At 37.2% G+C, this 24707-nt stretch overlaps 1 protein-coding gene across 49 annotated transcripts in view; it reads right to left on the reverse strand.

The window, feature by feature from the left end:
• NT5C2 (5'-nucleotidase, cytosolic II) overlaps window positions 1–24707 on the reverse strand; it is a 105256-nt gene that overhangs the window by 56382 nt on the left and 24167 nt on the right. For 5 of the 49 annotated variants that reach the window (NM_001351174.1, XM_005269637.6, NM_001351191.1 and 2 more), the window contains exon 1: window positions 8893–9423. The exons of 42 other annotated variants lie outside the window; for them this stretch is intronic. In NM_001351174.1, coding sequence (NP_001338103.1) covers window positions 8893–8906 — 14 coding nt within the window. In that variant the 5' untranslated portion in view covers window positions 8907–9423. Of the gene's footprint in view, window positions 1–1631; window positions 9424–24707 lie in introns of those variants that run through there. 2 more of the 49 variants (XM_047424851.1, XM_047424857.1) reach the window with 1 other exon arrangement.

The following is a 24707-nucleotide window of genomic DNA, read 5'->3' on the forward strand; positions in this document are numbered from 1 at the left end:
ACAGGAAAAAGGAGATTTTGCTGTTAATGTCAATCAGTGCTTAAGACAAGAACAACAGTCTCAGCCAAGTACCAGCTTCTTTCTTTGTTAGAAAAGAGATTAAGCTTGTACTGTCATGAAAATATATCAAATCATTTATGTATATTTTTAAGGATTCAAAGATTATAATGTACCTTTATTATCTATGTAAACTCTAGGAATAACATATTTCAGGAATATGAAAATCTGGTTTTGCCAAAATAATCATTGCTACATATCCATCAAATTGCACTTCTCCTCTCTTTAACCTAGTCACATTAACTATTCAATCAACACATTCATTGTCTACTACAAAGCAGATACCATTTTGTGACATATGTCATATAAGCTGTTCTTTAGGGAGCAGAAAGAGCTAGGACAGACTTTATAAGAGTCTAAAATTAGGAAATATGATGTTTTCCTATGAAGTTCTACCAAATATCCTTTATCTTTCCATTTTCATTCAAAATAAGTGCTCTAACCACAAAAGCAATTCCTGAACTTAGAAACAATCACTTCTGTCTCCCCCCAATTCATTTCTATTATGATATTTATAAAAATGAAAAGCCTCACATATATTCTCATCTTTCCTTTTCTTTCCCTAATCTAGGCTACAAAACATGAGGGGAGGCGCAGTGTGGAATTAAATCTAATTTGTTGTATGAATAGCTGAAGTGCATAAGCAAAGCTATAATGGCAAAATAGAACAGCTGTATTATAGAGAACTGCAATAAGCCAAATATAGTTATTTGGCTATATATTCCACAGTTTACAAAGATAATAAACACCCAAATGCTTAAAGTATGCAGTGACTTCAGCACAGAGGCAGCCTTAAAGCATGAAATACCATGTCTCCAGGATACAGTCTTCAAGAGAAACTAATCTCTTGGTCTCAAACTAATGACTACTCTTCACTGAGGTTATAGCAAAACAAAGTGTTAGGTACTATATCAACTAAAAGGTACTATATCAATTACAAGGCTGGCCCACTGCCCCATCATACATTTCAAAACAAAAAGATTTATCTGCTTGAGGAATCCAAAAATTTCTATTGGTCTCCGGACCTTGACTGTACCTTTGCCAATGTCAGTTTACTGTGTCACATTTCTAAATTATTAACAAGTGGAACATACTCCACCCCTATGTTCAAGAGCTTGAACATATCGGAGAAATTAACTTCCCGAAGCTTGCTTTTAAAAAAGCACAAACTTGCCGCCCTAGAAAGCATGACTAAACTAAGCATCCAATCTTAAAGCACAATTAGCCAGCAATTCCAACATACTAAGTCTTTGTAAGTTGCAGATTTGAGCATTAACATGAAAAACAATCTCTAGGTGACAGGAACACTCTAAAACGAAGCACAGACTTCAATATAAAGACAAATGTAACAGCTTTTATTATCATATCCCACAGCAGTTAAGACATTAAACTTGAATAAACTCCATCCAAGTAAATATAAATATTAACCATAAGAAATAGAGCCATTAATATAATGTGCTTTAGAAATAAGAATATTCTCACACTTAAGTAACATGAACATGCAATTTATTAAATTTGAAATTTTGTAAATAGCAATCTTAATGGCTTTAACTTGTAATTCAAAGCAGTATTACCTCATCTGTCACTGGTTGCCGTTTTGAAAAGTGTAAAACTATCTGAGTCAACTAGTTCTTGAAGTCACATAACAAAATTCTTCGTAAGGTCCCTAGTATAGTTTTTTTGTGACTTAACTTCAAGAAGTTTAACCTGAATCAGGCCCCTCAAAAGCATGTATCTTCCGAGACAGTGCTGGAGAAAACACCTCTGTGTTTAATTTAACTTGTCATTGGATATCACTGTTGCTCCACACAAATCCATTTGGAATAGAATTTCTTTGGCAATGGTGAACTTTATCTGTAACTCCTCCCCTTGCCTAGGAGTCACAATTTCCTGGCCAAGTGCCCAATGACAGTTAGTGCAACAACAAATGAGACTAAGGATTCAAGTATAAAATCTTCTTGGGCATCTGTTTTCCTTATGGGCTTGCATAATTACACATTGAAAATTTGCTACAATCAAGAAAAGAAAAAGTTACAAGTGCTTTTTGAGAGGGCAAATTGAAATTATGAACTAAAAAGTATGTGTCTGTATATATGCATATTTTTACTTAATAGAAAATGCTATAATGTGGATTTTTTGTTGAAAACCCAATCTCCAAACTAGTTCCTATTTCTGCTATGGGCACTCCCATTCTCCCACTCAAGCTTAAAATCTAGTTACTATCTTTTGATTCTTTCCTCTTCTTCAAATCCACATCCAATCATCTAATGTGCCTTCATTTAAATTACCAAACGTCTCTGGAATCCAATCTTCCATTCAATTCACAGTGCTAACAACATGTCCAGGTCCTCATTAGTCCAGCAATCATCTCCCAATTGCTCTGCCCTCGCACTAATGCCAAATTAATTGCTTTGAAGTAGTGCTACTCAAAGCATGGTCCACAGGCCAATGCTGGATTATGAACATTTGTTGCTAACCCATGACATGACACATACAGAAATTTTAAGTATTTAGAAACTTTTACAGTAATTTGACAGAGCAATTTTGTTTGTTGAATGTAGTAATAAAAAAGGTAGGCTTACATTTTGTGTCTTCATTTTTCTTGAAATTCATTTTTATTTTATAAACGTGTCCATTTGAAACAGATTGGAAAAAAGTTATTTATAAACTGGTCCTCCCTCACAGACAGTTTGAGAAGCACTGTCCTAAAACCCTGATCCAATCATATCACTCTCTTAAGAACTTTTAGTCATCGCTCACTACCTACCCAATTAATAAATTGCAAATTATTGGATCTTAAAGTTCAAAAACTTTCATTTTGTCAAAATCAGTTTGATCTTACATTGTCCCACATCATGCACCTTTGGCTGTAGTAATCAAAGTGAGCTACTTGCTATTTCCTAAATATGCCCTAAGGCTTTGTTTATATTCTTTTCCCTAAAAGGGCCACCTCAGTTATCTCTAATTATCAAGACCCTGCATCTCAAGTGATTTTGTCAAGGAACTATCAATATTCTGGTTGTGCCACAGAACTATGTGACAGTAATGTCTCTGGGTCTCATTACTTTTCTACTTAATGAAAGAAACTGCATCAGCAACTAAAATTCTATAAAGTTGTGACCCAAATGAGAGGCTTAAACCTTCAAAATTCCCTGTTTTGACACTTACTATATGTTGTCATAGACATAAAATATGGTAGTTCTCTTATTCTTTATTGGATTATAAACTTTGAGACCAGGATTTATAATCTTCCCAACACCTAACATAGGGCCTTGTAATAGCAGACACAATATTTAACTGAACTAAAAATTAAGCTTAAACTAGAAACTTAATAGGGGTTTGTCATTGCCAGAGGCTGTGGGGAGGAGGGAACGGGCAGTTTCCGCTAATGGGTACAGGGTTTCTTGTGGGGGTAATGAAATGTTCTAAAATTAGATAGCGGTATTGGTTGCACAACTCTGTGAATATACTAAAATGATCAAATTGTATGCTTTAAAAGGGTGAATTGAATGATACGTGAATTGTATCTCAATAAAGCTGTTATTAAAAAAAAGTAATAGGAAGACCTCAGTCTGCCATTATGTCTCCATCCTCCGTAAAAAGTATGCTTAATGATATAAAAAGTATTATAGGTAAGAACTTTATGAAATGGATTCTTAAAAATTCAAAGCTCAAATACCATGGACATACAGACACAACAAGAAATTTTGGGTTAGATTCTAAAAGCAACAGACATCTAGTAGCATTAGTTTTGCTTTCATAAATTCTAACCAGTAACTTCTTACTAATTTGTTTTAACATTTTCTCTGAGGAACATCAAGAGGGATACATTTTGTTTATCAGATTGTGTCAAGAGAACAGCAGTGGCTGGGTGCGGTGGCTCACGCCTGTAATCCCAGCACTTTGGGAGGCTGAGGCGGGTGGATCACGAGGTCAGGAGATTGAGACCATCCTGGCTGACATGGTGAAACCCCGTCTCTACTAAAAATAAAAAAATTAGCCGGGCATGGTGGCAGGTGCCTGCTGTAGTCCCAGCTACTCGGGAGTCTAAGGCAGGAGAATGGCGTGAACCCAGGAGGCAGAGCTTGCAGTGAGCCAAGATCGTGCCACTGCACTCCAGCCTGGGCAACAGAGTGAGACTCCGTCTCAAAAAAAAAAAAAAAGAACAGCCTCCTGTGCATTAAAAATCTGAACAGTGCTCACTTCGGCAGCACACACACTAAAAATCTGAACAAATGTGTTATCACTTATAAAATAAAACATGAAATTATAATACTCATTTTACTCACTCATATACTCAGTATTTAAAAGTTCCAGAGAAAAGTCAGTATGGAGACATACATGGAACAAAATTTAAGATGATTAAGATTTAAAATGCCATCAATTATAAAATGTACCCATATTATATACCAGTAAGAAAAGGGGGGAAATTCCAAGTCACAGCCTAGGAGATTCCACAAAAAGTTAGGATAGCAAAAGGGATATACTCATAATATGAGGATAAGGGAGAAATATATCTACAACACAGAAGGGCCCACAAAGAAATCTGTACATCTCAGCCTTGACTGTACATCTATTTCCCATTTTGTACTGCGTCCAGGGAGGGGGAAAATCTCTCCCTGAGAATTTGAACAAGTCAGTCATGTAGGTTGTGCTCTGAATTTATACTATCAGGATGGTTGATATTTTCCCCAGGTGACCGAAAGAAGCGAAAGCAAATCCTCTCTGGAAGAACTCAACTTGAATTCTAGGTGGTATATTGCCAGATATAGCCCAGTTTCTGGGATGTTTAAATGTAAAAGAAGGTCTATCTTAAAAACTATAAAATAATAGGAGTACTGATGATAATGCAGACTCTCTTTCCAGCAAAGATTTTAAAGCACACTTTAAGGAGATTCATCAAAAATATTTAAGGAAAAGACATTAAAATTCCCTTCACCTTCATTCTCAAATGAAGAAATTGTGATAATGGGAGCAGGATGGTAGGAAATATAAGAGAGGGCTGACTACCAAATTAGAAAAATACACAAGTTACGGGAGAAACCAGGACAATACCAGTACTTCTAAGAATATATTTACTATTCTAAAACCTCAGTCTAATTAAGCATAGGCTTTTCCAATCCCTTTTTTCCTATTTTCCTCTAAATTGTTTTTCACTTTTTCTCTACAATTTTTGAAAGACCAGTGTATAGAGGATCATTCATAAAACACAGCAAAATTTCAGGGTTAAACTCTGTGAGATAGAAATTAGAGAAGAAAATATGGTTATCCATGTTAGCTAAGTCCAAATTAACAAGTATACTGTGCCTATATTGGAAGAAAGGTCAAAACCCAGAATTTAAAATAAAAACAAATAATAAAATTCATTTTGGCCTTTTACCTAAACGACAGCAACTCTAGTAATTAAAAAAAAAAAAAAAAGCACTTTAACAACTCCAGAGGGCTAATTCAATCATGACACTGCAAAGAGAGTATATTTTTCCCTGCATTACACATCCTAGGAGCAACCATATTTTCCCAAAGATATCCTTTTGAATCAACAACCGCTTTACAAAATTTTAAATCAGCAGGATGAGGAGCTTCTCAAGTCTCATTCCTCCACCAACTTTACTAAGGTATCATTTACTTAAAATAACATTCACCCCCCTTAAATGAAAATTTTGGTGAGTCTGATAACAGTATACACTCATGCAACAACTACTACAATCAAGATGTAGAATATTTTCTTCAATCCAAAAAATTCCTTCATGTTCTTTTGCAATACCCTCCCCAGCCCTTGGCCCTGAGCTACCACTAGTACTTTCTGTCACTGTAGTTTTCATATAAATGGAATCAAGTATTACTTTGTCATGTGTCTGGCTTACTTAGCAATACTTCTGAGATTCATCCATGTTGCTGCATATATGATTAGTTCTTTTATTCCTGAGTATTTCATTGTATGGATATACCACAATTTGTTTATCCATTCAGTTAATGGACACTTGGTTTGTTTCCAGCTTTCGACTATTATAAATAATGCTGCTACAAACAGTCACATACAAATTTATGTGGGCATTTTTTAATCTCTTGGGTAAATATCTAAAAATGGAATTACTAGGTCATATGTTAAGCATATGTTTAACTTAAAAAGACATTGCCAAAACTCTTTTCTCTTTTGCACTCTTATCAGCAATGCATGAGAGTTACCATTGCTCCACAGTCAGTGTTTTTAATTGTAGCCATTTTAGTGTGTGTGCAGTGGTATCTCACTATAGTTTTAATTTGTATTTCCCTAATGACCAATAACATCTTTTCAAATCCAATTTTGTGAAGCATCAATTCAAATATTTTGCCCGTTTTTAAACTGGGCTGTCTTATTATTGAATTACAAGAGTTCTTCGTATATTTTGGATCCAAGTCTTTTATCAGATATAAACATATTCAGAATATTTTCTCCCAGTCTGCAGCTTGCCTTTAAATATTCTTCATGATGTCTTTCAAGAAACAGGAATTTGATTTTTTAAATTTTGATGAAGCCCAACTTATCAGTTTTGTCTAACAATTTTTATTCAGTTTACCTAAGAAATGTGTACCTCATTCAGGGTCACAAAGATTATATTCAGGTCTATGATCCATTTATTTTAATGTACAGTTTGAGATAAAGGTCAAGGGTCAAGGTTCATTTTTTTTTTCCTATATGAATATTCAGTTGTTCCAGTACATTTGTTAAAAACACTAGCCTCTCCTGGCCAGGCACAGTGGCTCACGCCTGTAATCCCCAGCACTTTGGGAGGCCAAGGTGGGTGGATCATCTGAGGTCGGGAGTTCGAGACCAGCCTGACCAACATGGAGAAATCCTGTCTCTACTAAAAATATAAAATTAGCCGGGCATGGTGGTGCATGCCTGTAATCCCAGCTACTAAGGAAGGCTGAGGCAGGAGAATCGCTTCAACCTGGAGGTGGAGGTTGCGGTGAGCCAAGATTACGCCACTGCACTCCAGCCTGGGCAACAAGAGTGAAACCTGTTCTTAAAAAAAAAAAAAAACACTAGCCTCTCGCCATTGAATTAGCTTAACTTCATTGCTGAAAATCAATTGATTATATATATGTGGGTCTATGAACTCCCCATTTGGTTCCATAATCTATATGCCTATCTTAACACTAATATCACACTGTCTTAATTACCATAGACTTACATAAAGCTCAAGTATAACTTTGGGTGATTTAACTCTATTAATCTTTTCCTATTACTATTAGGGAAATATTTCATAGCTATCAAATGATAACACGGTACTAAATGTCAATATTGCACTTATGAAAACGGTGAATGTAAGAATTTTTTTCATCCCCAAGCACAAAATGTATCCATTTATTTCTAAAGATAGCATAGAGAATAAAACTTAATTGATGTCATTTATATACTCCATGTACTTCAAATGCACTTATTATCCATTCGGACAGTACAGACATTGCTCCAGAGGCTCCTAGAGATAAACCTAAAAAAAAAATCTGCCGTTACAGTGTCCTAGAGGGGTAATATAGGTCCCTCCAACTTTCTCTAACTAACCAAGTCTAACATATACTTTACCATAGGGTAAAAATTAGCACTAACTACTTCCAAGAACTTTAACCGCGTCTAGAAATACAATTCATCTTAAATCTACAAACTATAATAGCTTTATAAACAACCCTGTGTACAAGATTGACAAACATACTAGCACCTGTGATAGTCCTTATCATAAAAATGGTTTAACACCTACCTATCTATAGCCAGTGGTAGAAGGAAAGAAAATATACCAACCTAAAAAGGCAGTCCTTTAAGAAAATATACCAATCTAAAACAGCAGTCCTTTCATAATTTTCACATTTAAAAGAAACCTCAAATTTCTAGTGATGTCATAAAAGGTCTAAAAATAATACAGAATTACTTATACCCCTGGTTGTTCTCGTTATTCAATAATGAAATCTAAAAATAGCAGTAAAGTGGGCCAATTTTATTTTGTTCATAATCAATACATGATTAGATTAAAATAAGTTGTAAATGTGAGGCTCTGGAACCACTTCAAATTTTCTTACAGAACAAAAGAACTAGAAAGATAATTAATAGATTCCAGAAAAATAAAAACTAAACTTTTACTGTATTTTTAAAGAATTTTTTTGAGAGATTTATGTCCTATTTTATTAAAAGAAACATCTCTCTAAAATTAACCAGGTCTAGTTATGCCTGAAGGCTAGAAATGAAATAACCAACAGTATGCAGTTATTAACTTATCACTTATTATAGTGGTCACAAAAAGAGAATCAGTAATAATTCAGACTCTGAAGCATAAGAGAAAATAATACAAAAATAATATGGAACTATCTTATATTGCAAAGCAAATTAGAATAGGGAATTCTACTCTAAATTATTTTTTGCCTACATGCCCCAGAAACAAAATCATAGGCTGTTTTTCACTAAATATTTCACACCATTTTCTAAAGGTACAACTTATTTTAAAACGCCATTGAATTTTTAAGCTTCCCTCAATTCTTCGGTAAACCACCGTTTGCTTCCAATCTTGATAAATACATTCTGCAGAAAAACAAAATGAATTTACCACAGAGTAAACAAAGTACTTATATCTTACAAAATTCCTATTAAGATTGCCCTTACTCAGTGCTGTCTTTCAAAACAACAATAGCAACTTTATAGTAGATTACACATGAAACACTATAAGATTTGGGCTGAATTTCTTTCAATCTCTGCCTCTACCTCCACTCTCGGACTGGTAGCACTGCTTATTAATCTTTTAATTCATGCAGATGATACCTCTTCACTGAGAAAAATGAAAGAGAAAGAATAATAAAATCACTTACCCTTCCTTAGACATTCTCAAAGATCTACTTCCTCTGGATGAGAATACAGGATCAACAAACAAGCTTCACTGATCTCTTGAGAACTGTAGCTCATTTGTTAAAGCACAGAGAACTCAGGCCCTGAGAGGCCCAACAAATTTGGGCACAATGCCGAACCCTAACTAGGCAATATCTCAGTGACCAATATCCTCAGCTTTAAATACTTGAAAACTTAAGAATAATTTTTTTAAAAATTTCAAGACTAGGAAAAATAACTAATGGCCTGAACTGTTTAAGGCTGGCCAGTTAAGGAAGGAGACAATCCAAATGGCAAGTTCCTGTAAGAGACAGGAATCGTTACTGGCAAACACAGAAAAAGCAAATTTACCCCCTAATGAGGCCCTCCAACAGTACGCAAACAATGTGAGTTTCACAGAATCAAGCAGCCCTGGTCGGTCAAAATCATTTTTAGTTTACTCTGGGAGCAAAAAACACAGGATAAATAATTTTATGTTTTAATTATTAGTGTAGTTATTTCCTCCCTCAGAAAATAAACAATGTGAATTACAAGAGAAGGAAGTATGTGCAGATCATATTACAGGAGGAACCTAAAGTATTTCCACAGCGAGGTATTTTTTTTTCTGACTTCATTAACTGCTTTTAAACAAAACATCTGCGTTCACAAATATTTCACTTAATCGCCTGAAAATTTCAGCTCATGTGAAAAGATATTTACAGATCTTTGGCATATGGGGGATAAATCCAGAACATTCTAAAGGTTAATTCCAAATCTCAGAGCAAACTGAGCTTTGAAAAAAAAGAATCTGTAACATTCCTGCCTCCCGACCAATATAATGCATAGGGATTATGCAACAGGGGAAGAAATAAATAAGTCTGCTAAAGTCTAAGAACATTGAGATGGCAAATCCTCCTCACGGTGATTCAAATTAAAAATAAAATACATATACCTTAAAGAACTACTACTTGAATTAAGGCTTAAAATTTTTAAAAGCTTTATCCCTTTAAATATTACCTAAATATCTTACCATAAAGGTTTCTTTTTGTTATTAAAATGTTTAAATAGTTACTAAGTAATTAAAAGCACTACTAAATACTATAAATTCAAAATAAAATTAAGGGATAAAAGACTTTAAGGTAGAAAAAATAAAAAAGAAAAAACAAAAGAAAATTATTTTCAGTTTATTTAGAAAAGCAGTATGGTGTAATGGAAAGAGAATGGGCACTAGAAGAACTAAGGCTTAAATTCCAGCTCCTCCACTTTCTGGCTTTGGAACTTTGAATAAGTTACTTAACCTAAGCCTGAGCGTTTTAATCTATAAAAGGGAAGATAACATCTGGTAGGGATGTTGTCTGTCACATGTAAGCGCTCCAAGAACTATTACTGAGGGTAGGGGAACAGGAAAAGCAACTGGATTATCAGGCATTGCCTCATTAATATATCTCATGGGAAATACTTTTTTAAAAAATCTAAATCTCAAGTTTTACACAAATATGAAGGATTTCCATTGACTATCCTCAAAGCAAATTCCATAACTACAAGAATACAAATTGAATATGGAAAAATGATCTAATCCTTAAGGGTGCCAACTTCCCATGGATTCCCTAGATTTTCAGCTTGTGGTATCACAGCTCAGTGCAGTGGAAATAAATGTAATTACTATTTTAAGACTTTACTATTGGCAAAGAGAAAGGAAAACAAAAATTATCACTTGAACTGAGGGTACACACTTACAGAAGCTTCCTGTGCAAAAGGTAAGGCATTGTCTAAAGATGATTAGCTCTTTCAAACTCCATGCATACATTAAACAAATATTTACTGAATGTCTGTGTGCCAGATACCAGTGATACAAAGATAAACTTGGAAGTCCTTGATTTTAAGAAGCTAGTGAGAAGGTCCATTCAAAAGTAGCTATGAAGTAGTGTGTTAATAGTAGTATTAGAGATACGCACAACAGAGAGGGACATATAGATCCTCTTGGCTGAGTCTTAGAGATAGGATGAGATACTGTTTTTTAAAAACTGACACTGTGCTAAGCTCTTTATTTATTACCTCATCTAATCTTTGCAATAACTCTATGAGGTAAAGTTATTCCAGTTTAAAAGATTACAAAATTAAAATTTACAAAACTTAAATGCTGGGATTCTAAAGAAATGGAACAATCCAAAATGCCAACCCTAGCCCCAAGCTCTTAATCACCAGGCTAAAAGTATTAGCAGCAGGCTAAGAGGAAAAGAAGAGGTCTCCAACAGAAGAGGAACCATGAACAAAAAGCAAAATGACATAAACATCATGATGTGTGAATAAAAACAAAGCTATGAGCCCGGGAGGTCAAGGCTGCAGTGAGCCATGATCACACCACTGCACTCCAGCCTAGGTGACAGAGCAAGACCCAGTCTCAGAGAAAAAGCAAAGCTAGATACAGTTGACAGAACACAGAATCTGAGGAAGAGAACTGCTCAACACAAAAGTGGACAGAAAAAGATCAGTCTTAGAGAGTCTTGGCGGGGTTAGAATTTATCCTGTTGCATGCTCGATGTGATATCACTAAAGGATCTAAGCAGGATTATAACATTATTTAAAAAATGAATTTGGCCAGGTGCCATGGCTCACACCTGTAATCCCAGCGACTCAGGAAGCTGAACTGGGAGGACTGCTTGAGGCCAAGAGTTTTAGACCAGCATGGGCAACATACAAGATCCTGTCTCTACAAAAAAAAATTTAAAAATTAGCCAGGTATGGTGGCATGCACCTGTAGTCCCAGGTACTTGGGAGGCTGAGGTGTGAGAATTACTTGAGGTCAAGGTGACCACAGTGAGTTATGATCATGCCATTACACTCCAGCCTGAGCAACAGAGTGAGACTCCATCTCTTGAAAAAAAAATTTTTTTGAGGAGGACAAGGCTGAAGGTGGGGAGACCTACGGGGGGATACTGCTGTAATCTAGGACAGCGATAACAAGGGCCTGGACCATGGCAATACTATCAGGAATGAAAAGGCCAGAGTCTAGAAATAATTAGATTCATTTTAAAGTATGCATGTGTGCTTAAATAAGACACTAAAATTTGAGCATGGTGACTATATTATTCCTCACTTCTTGGATCTATGGTGGTAATATTTAGAAATTGCTTCCTAATAATGGATGTAGTAACAATTAAAGTCCTCTTTTAAAAAGCTTTCAAGGGGCCACGTGCCGTGGCTCATGCCTGTAATCCCAGCACTTTGGGAGGCCGAGGCGGGCGGATCACCTGAGGTCAGGAGTTCTAAGACCAGCCCAGCCAACGTGGCGAAACCCCATCTCTACTAAAAATATGAAATTAGCCAGGCATGGTGGCGCATGCCTGTAATCCCAGCTACTCGGGAGGCTGAGGCTCGACAATCACTTGAACCCAGGAGGCGGAGGTTGTGGTGAGCTGAGATCACGCCATTGCACTCCAGCCTGGGCAACAAGAGCGAAACTCTATCTCAAAAAAAAAAAACTTTCAAGGGCCAGGTACAGTGGCTCACGCCTGTAATCCCAGCACTTTGGGAGGCCGAGGCAGGCAGATCACGAGGTCAGGAGATGGAGACCATCCTGGCTAGCACAGTGAAATCCCATCTCTACTAAAAATACAAAAACTTAACCACGCGTGGTGGCACGTGCCTGTAATCCCAGCTACTCGGGAGGCTGAGGCAGGAGAATGCCGTGAACCCATATGTCTCCCAAAGTTGGTAGGTAACATTTCTGATATGCCTTTTGCATAATTTTGACTTTTAAATGTATATTACTCTTATATATATTATATATAATAATGCTATAACATAGGATGTATTATGAAATGTTGTATTATGTTAAATTATTTAAAAATTAGATCAATAGAATGAAAAAGAAAAAAACACTTAACTGAAAGCAAACAAATGAACCTAATTATACTGTATACAAATACCCTAACCATGCTGTAGAGAAAAAAAGCAAGAACGAACTAATCCAAGGAACTAAAAAACACAAAGTCTAAGCCTTTAGACTTTGGCAGGGTAAGGTAAGAAAGTGGAAGAATGGCAAATAAATCCTGAACTTTTTAGGTTTGTTTGTTATGGTATGAGTTAATCAACTGAAGCAATTTTAGATTAAGCAAACTAAATATGTTGATGATGTCAGGAGCCAGGGCTTTCACTGTGGAACAAGAGATATACAAACATGGAATGGGAGTGAACAAGAAGGAACTTTCCTAGGATGGACTAGCATTAGATGTAATGGTGTGAACTCATGATTTCTACAATACATATAAAAATGCATACCCAGTGAAAAATGCTACACAAATTAAGGTAAAGACATCTTTAGAATATGCCACTCAACATCAGCAGAATACACATTCTTGTCAAAAGCATAGAGATTATTCAAGATAGACCACAGAGTAGCCCATAAACCAAGACACAGTAAATTTAAAAGGACTAAAATCATGTAAAATATGTTCTACAACCACAATGGAATGCAAGTACAAGTCAATGACAAAAGAAAATTTGGGGCCAGGTGCGGTGGCTCACACCTGTAATCCCAGCCCTCTGGGAGGCTGAGGCGGACAGATCGTGAGGTCAAGAAATTGAGACCATCCTGGCCAACACTGGGAAACCCCGTCTCTACTAAAAATACAATAATTAGCTGGGCATGGTGGCACGCACCTGTAGCCCCAGCTACTCAGGAGGCTGAGGCAGGAGAATCGCTTGAACCCGGGAGGTGGAGGATGCAGTGAGCCAGGATCGTGCCACTGCACTCCAGCATGACAACAGAGCGAGACTCCATCTCAAAAAGAAAAAAAAAAAAGAAAATTTGGGACATTCACAAATATGTAGAAATTAAACAACACACTCCTAAATAATAGAAATCACAAAGAAAGCTAGAAAACGCTTACAATTTAACGAAAAAAAGGACATAACAAAATCATTGGGGTACAGCAAAAGCAGTGCTCAGAAGAAAATTTATAGCTGTAAATGCACATATTTAAAAAGAAGAAACATCTCAATTAATAGCCTAGCCTTCCACATTAAGAAATTATAGAAAAAGAAGAACAAAATCAACCCAAATCAAACAGAAGGACAGAAATAATATATTACAGATTAGAGCAGAGATTTAAATATATATATACAAAATCTAAAGCACTGGAGAAAAATCAATGCTTTTTCTTTAAAAACATCAACAAAATTGACATTTAGCTAGACTGACCCAAAAAAAGAAGACTCAAATTACTAAAATCAAGAATAAAAGCAGAGGCCAGGCACGGTGGCTCACACTTAACAATCCCAGCACTTTGGAAGGCCAAGGCAGGCGATCACTTGAGGTGAGGAGTTCGAGACCAGCCTGGCCAACATGGTGAAACCCTGTCTCTACTAAAAATACAAAAATTAGCCAAGCATGGTGGCGGGCACTTGTCATCCCAGCTACTTTGGGAAGCAGAGGCAGGAGAATCGCTTTAACCCAGGAGGCGGAGGTTGCTGTGAGCCGAGATTGCGCCACTGCACTCCAGCCTGGGTGACAGAGCGAGACTCTTATCTAAAAAAAAAAAAAAAAGAAGAATAAAAGCAGAGACATTACTACTGACCTCACAGAAATAAAAACAGATATAATACTATAAATAACTATATGCCAACATATTAGGTAACCAAGATAAAACAGACAAAAGTAGTACAAGACTTGTACACTAAAGACTACAATACCTGGAAACACACAAATTACCAACATTGACTCAAAAAGAAATAGAAAATCTAAAGAGATCTATCAGTAGTAAGGAGATTAAGTCAGTAATCAAAAAACTTCTAACACTGCCAGGTGCAGTAGCAGATGCTTGTAGTTCCAGCTATTCAGGAGGCTGAGGCAGGGGGATCACTTGAGGCCAAGAGTTAGAGGCTACAGTGCACTATGATCAGGCCCGTGAATAGCCACTGCATCCAGCCTAGGTAACAGAGTGAGACCTCATCTCCAAAACATGCACACACACACACACACACACACACACACACACACACACACAATTAGAGCTAATAAACAAGTTCAGCAAAGTGGCAGGATACAAGATTAATATACAAAAAACCAGTTGTGTTTCCATAAACTAGCAATGAACAATCCAGAAATAAAATTAAGAAAACAATTATATTTACTATAGCATCAGAAATAATGAAAGACACCAGACTGGACAACATAGCAAGACCCCCTTCTCCACCAAAAAGAAAAAAATTTAATTAGCTAAGCATGGTGGTACATCTATAGTCCTAGCTACTTGAGAAGCTGAGGTGGGAGAATCACGTGAAGCCAGGAGTTCAGGGTTACAGTGAGCTATGATCATGTCACTGTACTACACCTTGGGTGACAGAGCAAGACCCTGTCTCTTTAAAAAAAAAAAAAAGAAAGAAAAGAAAATACTTAGGAATAAATTTAACAACAGAAGTGCAAGACCTGTACAATGAAGACTACAAAATACTGTTGAAAGAATTAAAGAAAATCTAAATAAATGGAAAGACATCCCATACTCATGGATCAAAACACTTAATACTATTAGGACAGCAATACTTCTCAAAGTTATATATAGAGAGAGTCAATGTAATTCATAACAAAATCCAGCTGGCTTTTTTATATAAATTGACAAGCTGATCCTAAGATTCATATGGATATAGAAGGGCACCAGAATAGCCAAAACAATCTTGAAAAAGAAGAGTAGGTTGCTGTTTTTCAAAACTTACTACAAAGCTGCAGTAATCAAGACTGTGTGCTACTGGCATAAGGACAAATAGATCAAACAAATATAATTCAGAGTCCAGAAATAAATTCATACATCTATGTTCAAATGATACTTGACATGGGTGCCAAGACCATTCAATGTGAAAAGAATAGTCTTTTCAAAAAATGGTGCTAGGACAACTGGATAGTCATGTGCAAAAAAATGAATCTGGACCCCTATCTTATATAATAACAAAAAAAGTAAATGAAAATGGATCAAAAACGTAAATGTAAGACCTAAAGCTGTAAAACTAACAGAAGAGAACACAGGAGTAAATCACTGTGACTTTGGAATAAGCAATGGTTTCTTAAACATGTCATGAAAAGCATACTCGAAAAAAGAAAACATACATAAATTGGACTTCACCGGTATTAAAATAACATGTGTTTCAAAGGACACTACCAAAAAAGTTATTAATGAAAGTCAGCCCACAGAACAGGAGACAATATTGGAAAATCATGTATCTGATAAAGGTCTAGAATCCAGAATATATAAAGAACTTTTACAACTCCACAATATAAACAACTCATTTAATAATAATAGGCAAAACACCTAAACAGACACTTCACAAAAGATACACAAATGGCCAGTAAGAACATGAAAACACGCTTACCATTACTGGTCATAAGGGCAAGTAAAGACCACAATGAGATACTATTTCACACACACTCACATGGCTATAATTAAAAAGGCAGGGCCAGGCACGGTGGCTCACGCCTGTAATCCCAGCATTTTGGGAGGCCGAGGCAGGCAGATCACGAGGTCAAGAGATCGAGACCATCCTGACCAACATGGTGAACCCCTATCTCTACTAAAAATACAAAAATTAGCTGTGCGTGGTGCATGCCTGTAGTCCCAGCTACTTGGAAGGCTGAGGCAGGAGAATCACTTGAACCCGGGAGGCAGAGGTTGCAGTGACCTGAGATCGTGCCACACTGCACTCCAGCCTGGCGACAGCAAGACTCCATCTCAAAAAAAAGGCAGTAAGTGTGATGAGGATTTGGAGAAACTGGAACATTCATACACTGCTAGAGGGAATGTAAAATGATGCATCTGCACTGGAAAATGGTTTGGCAAAGTGGAAGCAACCCAAATGTTAAGCAACAGATGAATGGAAAAACAAAATATGGTATATCCATACAATATATTTTTTTTCTTTAGACAAGGTCTCCCTCTGTCATCCAGGCTGGAGTGCACTGGCACAATCATAGCTCACTGCCACTTTGACTTCCCAGGCTCAAGTGATCCTCCCACCTCAGCCTCTTGAATAGCTGGGACTACAGGCATGCACCACCATGCCTGGCTAATTTATGTATTTTCTGTAGAGATGGGGTTTTGCTATGTTGCCCAGGCTAGTCTCAAACTCCTGGTATTATGATGCAATTTGCCCGTCTCACCTACCAGGAAGTGCTGGGATTACAGGCATCAGCCACTGTGCCTGACCAATAGAATATTATTTGGCAATAAAAAATAATGAAGTACTGAGATAGGCTACAATACAGATGAACCTTGAAAACACTATGCTAAGTGATGCAGGGCACAGTGGCTTGTGCCTGTAGTGCTACAGTCCCAGCTACTCAGGAAACTGAGGCAGGAGTATCATTTGAGCCCATGAGTGTGAGGCTTCTGTGAGCTATGACTGCGCCACTGTACTCCAGCCTGGATGACAGAGTAAGACTCCAACTCTTAAAAAAAAAATAATGAAAAAAGAAAATACTATGCTAAGTGAAAGAAGTCAGACACAGAAGGCCATAAACTGTATAAGTTCATTTATATGAAATATCCAGAATAGGCAATTCCATAGAGACAGAAAGTAAATTAGTGGCTGACACGGGCTGGAGAGAGAGGGAAACGTGGAGTGGACTACTAATGAGTATGAGGTTTCTTTTGGGATAATGAAAAATGGTTGTACCACTTTGTAAATATACTAAAAGCCACTGAATAATATACTTCTATTTTATATTATGTAAATTATAATTCAATTGTTTGTTTGTTTTTTGAGACATTCTCGCTCTGTTGCCAGGCTGGAGTGCAGTGGTGCAATCTTGGCTCACTGCAACCTCCGCCTCATGGGTTCAAGTGACTCTCCTGCCTCAGCCTCCCAAGTAGCTGGGACTACAGGCACGCACCACCACGCCCAGCAAATTTTTGTATTTTTAGTAGAGACGGGGTTTCACCATGTTGGCCAGGATGGTCTCGATCTCTTGACCTCATGATCCACCCACCTCGGCCTCCCAAAGTCCTAGGATTATAGGCATGAGCCACCACGCCCCACTGAAGCTGCTATTTTTTAAGAGAATACACACACACACCTTCCATAAATCAATATGGAAAAAAAAGACAACACAATTGGCAAACAACTTGAAAAGGCAAGTCACAGAAGAGGATCTTCTGCAAATGGCTACTTACAATATGAAGGTGTTCAACCTATTTATTCATCAGAAAAATACAACTTAAAACCAAAAGGAGATGCCACTATGTATACACTAGAATAACTTTTAAATTAAACACACAATTCAAAAGATTAATATTAAAGTGTTGGTGATACTGCTCTCATACATTGTAAGTGGAACTATAAACTGCTAGGGAAAACTATTTTGCGGTATCTACAAAAACTAAACGTATGCTTAACCTATGGCCCAGCAATTCCATTCCTGGGTAGAAACCAATAGAATTGAATGTATATATCCACAAAAAGATTTGTTCAAGAACATTTATAACAGCATTATTCTTATTTTTTTCAACTAAAAATTACTATTATTTTATTATTACTAAAATACAGTAATAGTTTATTTAAAATACACTGTTTATGTATACATTTCTATGAATCCTAACTCACATAATAGTTACAATCTGAAATTTAAAAGTTCCATCACCCCAAAAAACTCTCCCCTACTATCCTTCTGTAGTCACACTTTCCTTCTCTACTAACTCTTAGAACCCACTAATGTGTTCTCCCCATCACTACAGTTTTGTCTTTGAGACTATCATATAAATAAAATCATGCCAGATGTCATTTAAGACTGTCTTATTTGACTCAGCATTATGCCTTTGAGAGTGATCAGTTGCTCTATGTATCACTAGTTCATTATTTTACCTGAGTTATAATCTATTCTATAAATATACCACATACTGTTTATGTATGTACCTGCTGAAGAACATTTGGGCTGCCTTCAGTTTTGAGCAATTATAAACAGAGATACTATAAACATTATCCATTGTGTGAACCTAAGTTTTCATTTCTCTAGGGTAAATATCTAGGAGTGGGATTTCTGGGTCATTAATGTTAAGGTCTCTAACTTGATAAGAAACTGCCAAACTGTTTTTCCAGAGGAGCTGCACCCTCTCTGTTCACGAGCAATGTATGAGAAGTTCCAGTGGCTCCACATCCTTGGCAACACTTGATATTGTCAATATTTTTTATTTTAGCTATTGTAACAGGCATATATACAGTTGCTTTAATTTTTATCTTCCTAATGGGTAAAGAAGTTAAATATGTGTTTTTATGTCATCTGTATATATCTTCTTAGTGATGTTCAGTCTTTTAACCATTTCATAATTTGGTTATTTTCATATTGTTAAATTTTAAAAGTTCTTTATATACTCCAGATATAAGTCCTTTATCGAATTTTTTTCAGTCTATAACAGCTTTATATGCAATAACTAAAAACTTAAAAAAAAAAAAAACTCAAATGTGGGCCAGGCATGGTGGCTCACACCTGTAATCCCAGCACTTTGGGAGGCTGAGGCAGGTGAATCACTTGAGGTCAGGAGTTCAAGACCAGCCTGGCCAACATAGTGAAACCGTCTCTACTAAAAATACAAAAAAAAAACAAAAAAAAAAAAACCTGGTGGCACACACCTGTAATCCCAGCTACTCAGGAGCCTGAGGCACAAGAATCGCTTGAACCTGGGAGGCAGCCAGGCATGGTGACTCACGCCTAAAATCCCAGTATTTTGGGAGTCCAAGGCAGGAGAACTGTTTGAAGCCCGGGGTTTGAGACCAGCCTGGACATCAAAGTGAGACCCTATCTCTACGAAAAATAAAAAATAAAAAAATAGCTAGGTGTGGTGGTGTGCTCCTGTATTTCTAGCTGCTTGGAAGGCTGAGTTGGGAGGATCACTAGAGCCCAGGAGGAGGTCAAGGCTGCAGTGAGCTATGATTGCGCCACTGCACTCCATCCTGGGCAACAGTGAAATCGTGTCTCTGAAAAACAATGCTTTTTTTTTTCTTATTTTGAGACGGAGTCTCACTCTGTCGCCAGGCTGGAGTGCACTGGCTCAATCTTGGCTCACTGCAACTTCTGCCTCCTGGGTTCAAGTGATTCTCCTGCCTCAGCCTCCTGAGTAGCTGGGATTACAGGCATGCGCCACCACGCCCAGCTAATTTTTGTATATTTAGTAGAGACAGGGTTTCACCATGTTGGCCAGGATGGTCTCGATCTCTTGACCTTGTGATCCACCTGCTTCAGCCTCCCAAAGGGCTGGGATTACAGGCATGCACCACCGCGCCCGGCCAAAAACAATGTTTTTAGTATTAAAAAAACCTAAATGTCCACCAACAGAAAATAAATGATGAAATAAATTGTGGTATATTGATACAATGGAATGACACACAGTAATTAAAAAGAACAAATTACTGATACAAAAACATGAATAAATCTCTCTCTCAGACATTACAATTAATACAGAAGCCATACCCTTTAAGGTGAAATACACCATCTAAATGTAAATATAAATGATACTTCCTCAACATAAGTTTCTTCTTATACTATTTCAATAAATCTCAGATCTGCTTTTATTCTTTCTCTTCCATGCCACCAATACCACTTTTCTTCTTAATTTTACTGTTAGATATGTTGTTTTTGGAAGAAGTATAGAGGGAATGGTAGTAAAGAGAGAGTGCTTTAGGATTCAATACATTCTTTTGAACAGTAACATTTAGAGAATCTGTACTCCATAGTGGTATCACTGCACATTTTTAAGAGCATCTTGTATCTAGAACAGATAAGGAATTCATGTGACGTAAGAAAAGGTGTCACTGTGAAAATTTTTATTTTGTTTTTGTTTCTTAAGAGACAGGGTCTCGCTCTGTTTTCCAAGCTAGAGTATGATAGCATGATCACAGCTCACTGTAACCTCAAACTCCTGGGCTCAAGAAATCCACCTGCCTCAGCCAGGCGCAATGGCTCACGCCTGTAATCCCAGCATTTTGGGAGGCCAAGGCGGGTGGATCACCTGAGGTCAGGAGTTCAAGGCCAGACTGACCAACATGGTGAAACTCCATTTCTACTAAAAATACAAAATTAGCCTGGCGTGCTGGCACATCCCTGTAATCCCAGCTACTCGGGAAGCTGAGGCAGGAGAATCGCTTGAACCCAGGAGGCAGAGGTTGCAGTGAGCCAACATCACGCCATTGCACTCCAGCTGGGGCAACAAGAGCAAAACTCCATCTCAAAAAAAAAAGAAAAACAGAAATCCTCCTGCCTCAGCCTCCCTAGTGTCTGGGATTACAGGCGTGCACTACCACCTGTGGCTTTTTTTTTTTTTTTTTTTCTAGAAACAGGGTCTTACTCTGTTGCCAGAATCTCAAACTCTTAGACTCAAGTGATGTCCCCACCTCAGCCTCCCAAGAGAATTTTTTTTTTTTTGAGACAGAGTTTCACTCTTATTGCCCAGGCTGTAGTGCAATGGTACAATCTAGGCTCACTGTAACCTCCGCCTCCCAGGTTCAAGCGATTCTCCTGCCTCAGCCTCCCCAGTAGCTGGGATTACAGGCATGTACCACCACGCCTGGCTAATTTGTATTTTTAGCAGAAACAGGGTTTCTCCATGTTAGTCAGGCTAGTCTCGAACTCCCAACCTCAGGTGATCCGCCTGGCTTGGCCTCCCAAAGTGCTGGGATTACAGGCGTGAGCCACCGTGCCTGGCTTACCCAAGAGAATTTTTTAAGTTAAACTTTTTAATTTGGAGTAATTGTAGATTCACACGCAGTTGAGTAAGAAATGATACAGAGATTTCATGAACCCTTCACACAGTGTCCCCCAATGGGGAAATCTTGTGCCATATAGAAAAATATCACAACAAAGAAATTGACATTGACACAATTCACAACTTTATTCAGACTTCATCAGTTTTACATGCACTCTGTGTATGTGTAGATTAATATATTTACCACTAGAGTTAGACACAAGAGTTTCCTCATAAGGTATTCCTTGTGCTACCCTTTTACAGGTACACCCACCATCTCCCTCCACCCACCCCAATCTCTACCCCTAGCAACCATTAATTTATCAATCTCAATAATTTTGTAATTTCAAGAATGTTACAGAAATGGAACCATACAGAGTGTAACCTTTTCAGATTGGCTTTACTAACTCAGCATAATTCTCTTGAGATATATCAAAGCTGTTGCACGTATCAACAGTTCACTTTTTACTGCTGAATAGAATTCCATACACAGAATTTTGGGAGGAAAATAATAAGCTGAAAAATTTCTTACCAGTCCCTAAATTCTTACCTGTCATTCCTTAGGAAGATGAAACATGAATAAAAGCATTAGAATGATAAAAAACAAACAAACAAACAAAAAACAGAGTTTTGAATTTTTTTCTTTCTTTCTTTCTTTTTTCTAGAGACAGGGTTTTCCTGTGTCACCAGGCTGGAGTGCAATGGCGCAATCAAAACTCATTGCAACCTCAAACTCCCAAGTTCAAGTGATCTTCCTGCCCCAGCCTCCCCAGTAGCTAGGACGACAGGTGCACAGCACCATACTCAGCTAATCTTTTTACTTTTTGTAGAGACAGGGTATCATTATGTTCCCCAGGCTGGTCTCAAATTCCTGGCCTCAAGCCATCTTCCCATCTCGGTCTCTCAAAGTGCTAGTATTATAGGTGTAAGCCACCACACCCAGCCACAGTTTTGATGTTCTACCTTACTCTTCTTATTCCGACAAGATATATCCCATATATATATTATTTTTCTTTTTTTTTTTTCTTGAGACAGTCTCGCTCTGTCACCCAGGCTGGAGTGCAGTGGTAAAATCTCAGCTCACTGCATCCTCTGCCTCCTGTATTCAAGCGATTCTCCTGCCTCAGCCTCCCGAGTAGCTGGGATTACAGGCACCCGCCACCACACCTGGCTAATTTTTGTATTCTTTAAGTAGAGATGGGGTTTCACCATGTTGGCCAGGCTAGTCTCAAACTCCTGACCTCAGGCGAGCCACCCACCTCGGCCTCCCAAAGTGCTGGGATTACAAACATGAGCCACCATGCCCAGTCCCATATGTATACTATTTAAGAAACATGGCTCTTCAGCATTCCAGAGGACCTATATTTTCCGCATGATTTTCAATTTACAAAGTGGCTACTGAAATTTTAACAATTATCCACTGAATATTTGAACCAATACTAAAATGACAGTTTACTACTCAGCTTGATTAATGACAAAATTAAAAAGCTGAATGACATTCATATGATATCCATAAGTGATTAAAAGAGAAATTAAAATTGATCAACCTGGCAGTCTCTATCTACATATAACCTGATACCTGTTTTTAGTATGAGGTTTAAAAAAAAAAATAAAGATTTCCCCTTTTTTTGTTTTTGTTTTTGAGACACAGTCTCACTCTGTCACCTAGGCTGAAGTGCAGTGGCGCAATCATGGCTCACTGCAGCCTTGACCTCCCAGGCACAAGCAATCCTCCCGCCTTAGACTCCTGAGTAACCAGGACTACAGGTGCACACCACCATGCCCAGCTAATTTTTGTATTTTTGGTAAAGACGGGGTTTGCCATGTTGCCCAGGCTGGTCTTGAACTCCTGTGCTCAATGAGCCATCCACCCGCCTGGGTCTCCCAAAGTGCTAGGATCACAGGCATAAGCCACCGTGCCTGGTCCATCATAAACATTTCTAGATCGAAGCCATAAGTACTAGCAAAATTACATATACACAAATTCCTTTTCACTCCTTAAACATGTACAAGAAATTTACTTTGATTTTAGAAGAAACGATTATTCAACAGATTTATATAAAGACTGATATGGCTCTGGAAGCCTAAACTGCAACTAAAAAAAAAAAAACTTCAGATATATAATTTAAGATAAATATACAAAAGTCTTTAAAGAATTTTAAAGAGAAAAATCACTGCAATATTTTCTAAAATAAGGCAAAAGACTGGTTAACAAAAAATTCACAAGCCTAATAACGTGCCACATTTCAGTTCAATATGATAAAACCACTGCTAAATTAATAAGCTGTGTTCACAAAGAAAAAGCCAATTCATTGTCCTACAGAAATTCTGTTCTACTGGAAGCATCAGAGCTTTACAAACGTAAAAACTAAATACCTGACTTCGGTATCCTGGGCACAGTCAATGTAGAGAGCAGATGAAAAACCTAATTGTTCCATTCTTGGATTGGTAAATACAAATTCTGATCTATAGTGATCACTAAAAGATTCTAGTATTAAACAAAAACTATTTAAGAGGTAATTTTTGAAGCTGCCTCTTTCAGGTCACTATGACATCTGAGCAGCTCAGCTTGTCTTCTAACCATATAGCAAAACACATTCCACTGAAAGGTTTGGCCTGATGACTTATCCTCAGCCCAGAAAACTAAACAACCATAAGGAAATGAAGAAGGAGCAACAGTCATACATTTTAAAGGCTAGTTTCTTAATAATGACATATGACTGGCATCTCTATATTGAAATTCAGAAAACTGATATTAAGCAAGAAAAAAGCTGGAAGTTAGATATTTATTTACTTAACTAAGAATATTTAGCTTCTTCTAAAGGGAAATTGTAAAGCATCACATACGATGTATACTTTGTGATAATGATCAGCATAGCCTAACTTAACCAATGATAAATTACCAATCCAAATAAATGTCTTTAATGAAAAGACCTGGAAACAGAATATTCTACAAATTGACTTAACTAGAAAACTAAAATAAATTTCTTCTAAATGGTTTCTATTTAAAATTTTTAATTAACAAAAGCAAATACTGTTAGGAGATACAAGTCTGATGACTACATCATGATGAGTACAGATAATAATCTACTGTATAC

Source organism: Homo sapiens, chromosome 10 (assembly GCF_000001405.40).
Source record: "Homo sapiens chromosome 10, GRCh38.p14 Primary Assembly".
In the NCBI taxonomy this organism is placed as follows: domain Eukaryota; kingdom Metazoa; phylum Chordata; class Mammalia; order Primates; family Hominidae; genus Homo; species Homo sapiens.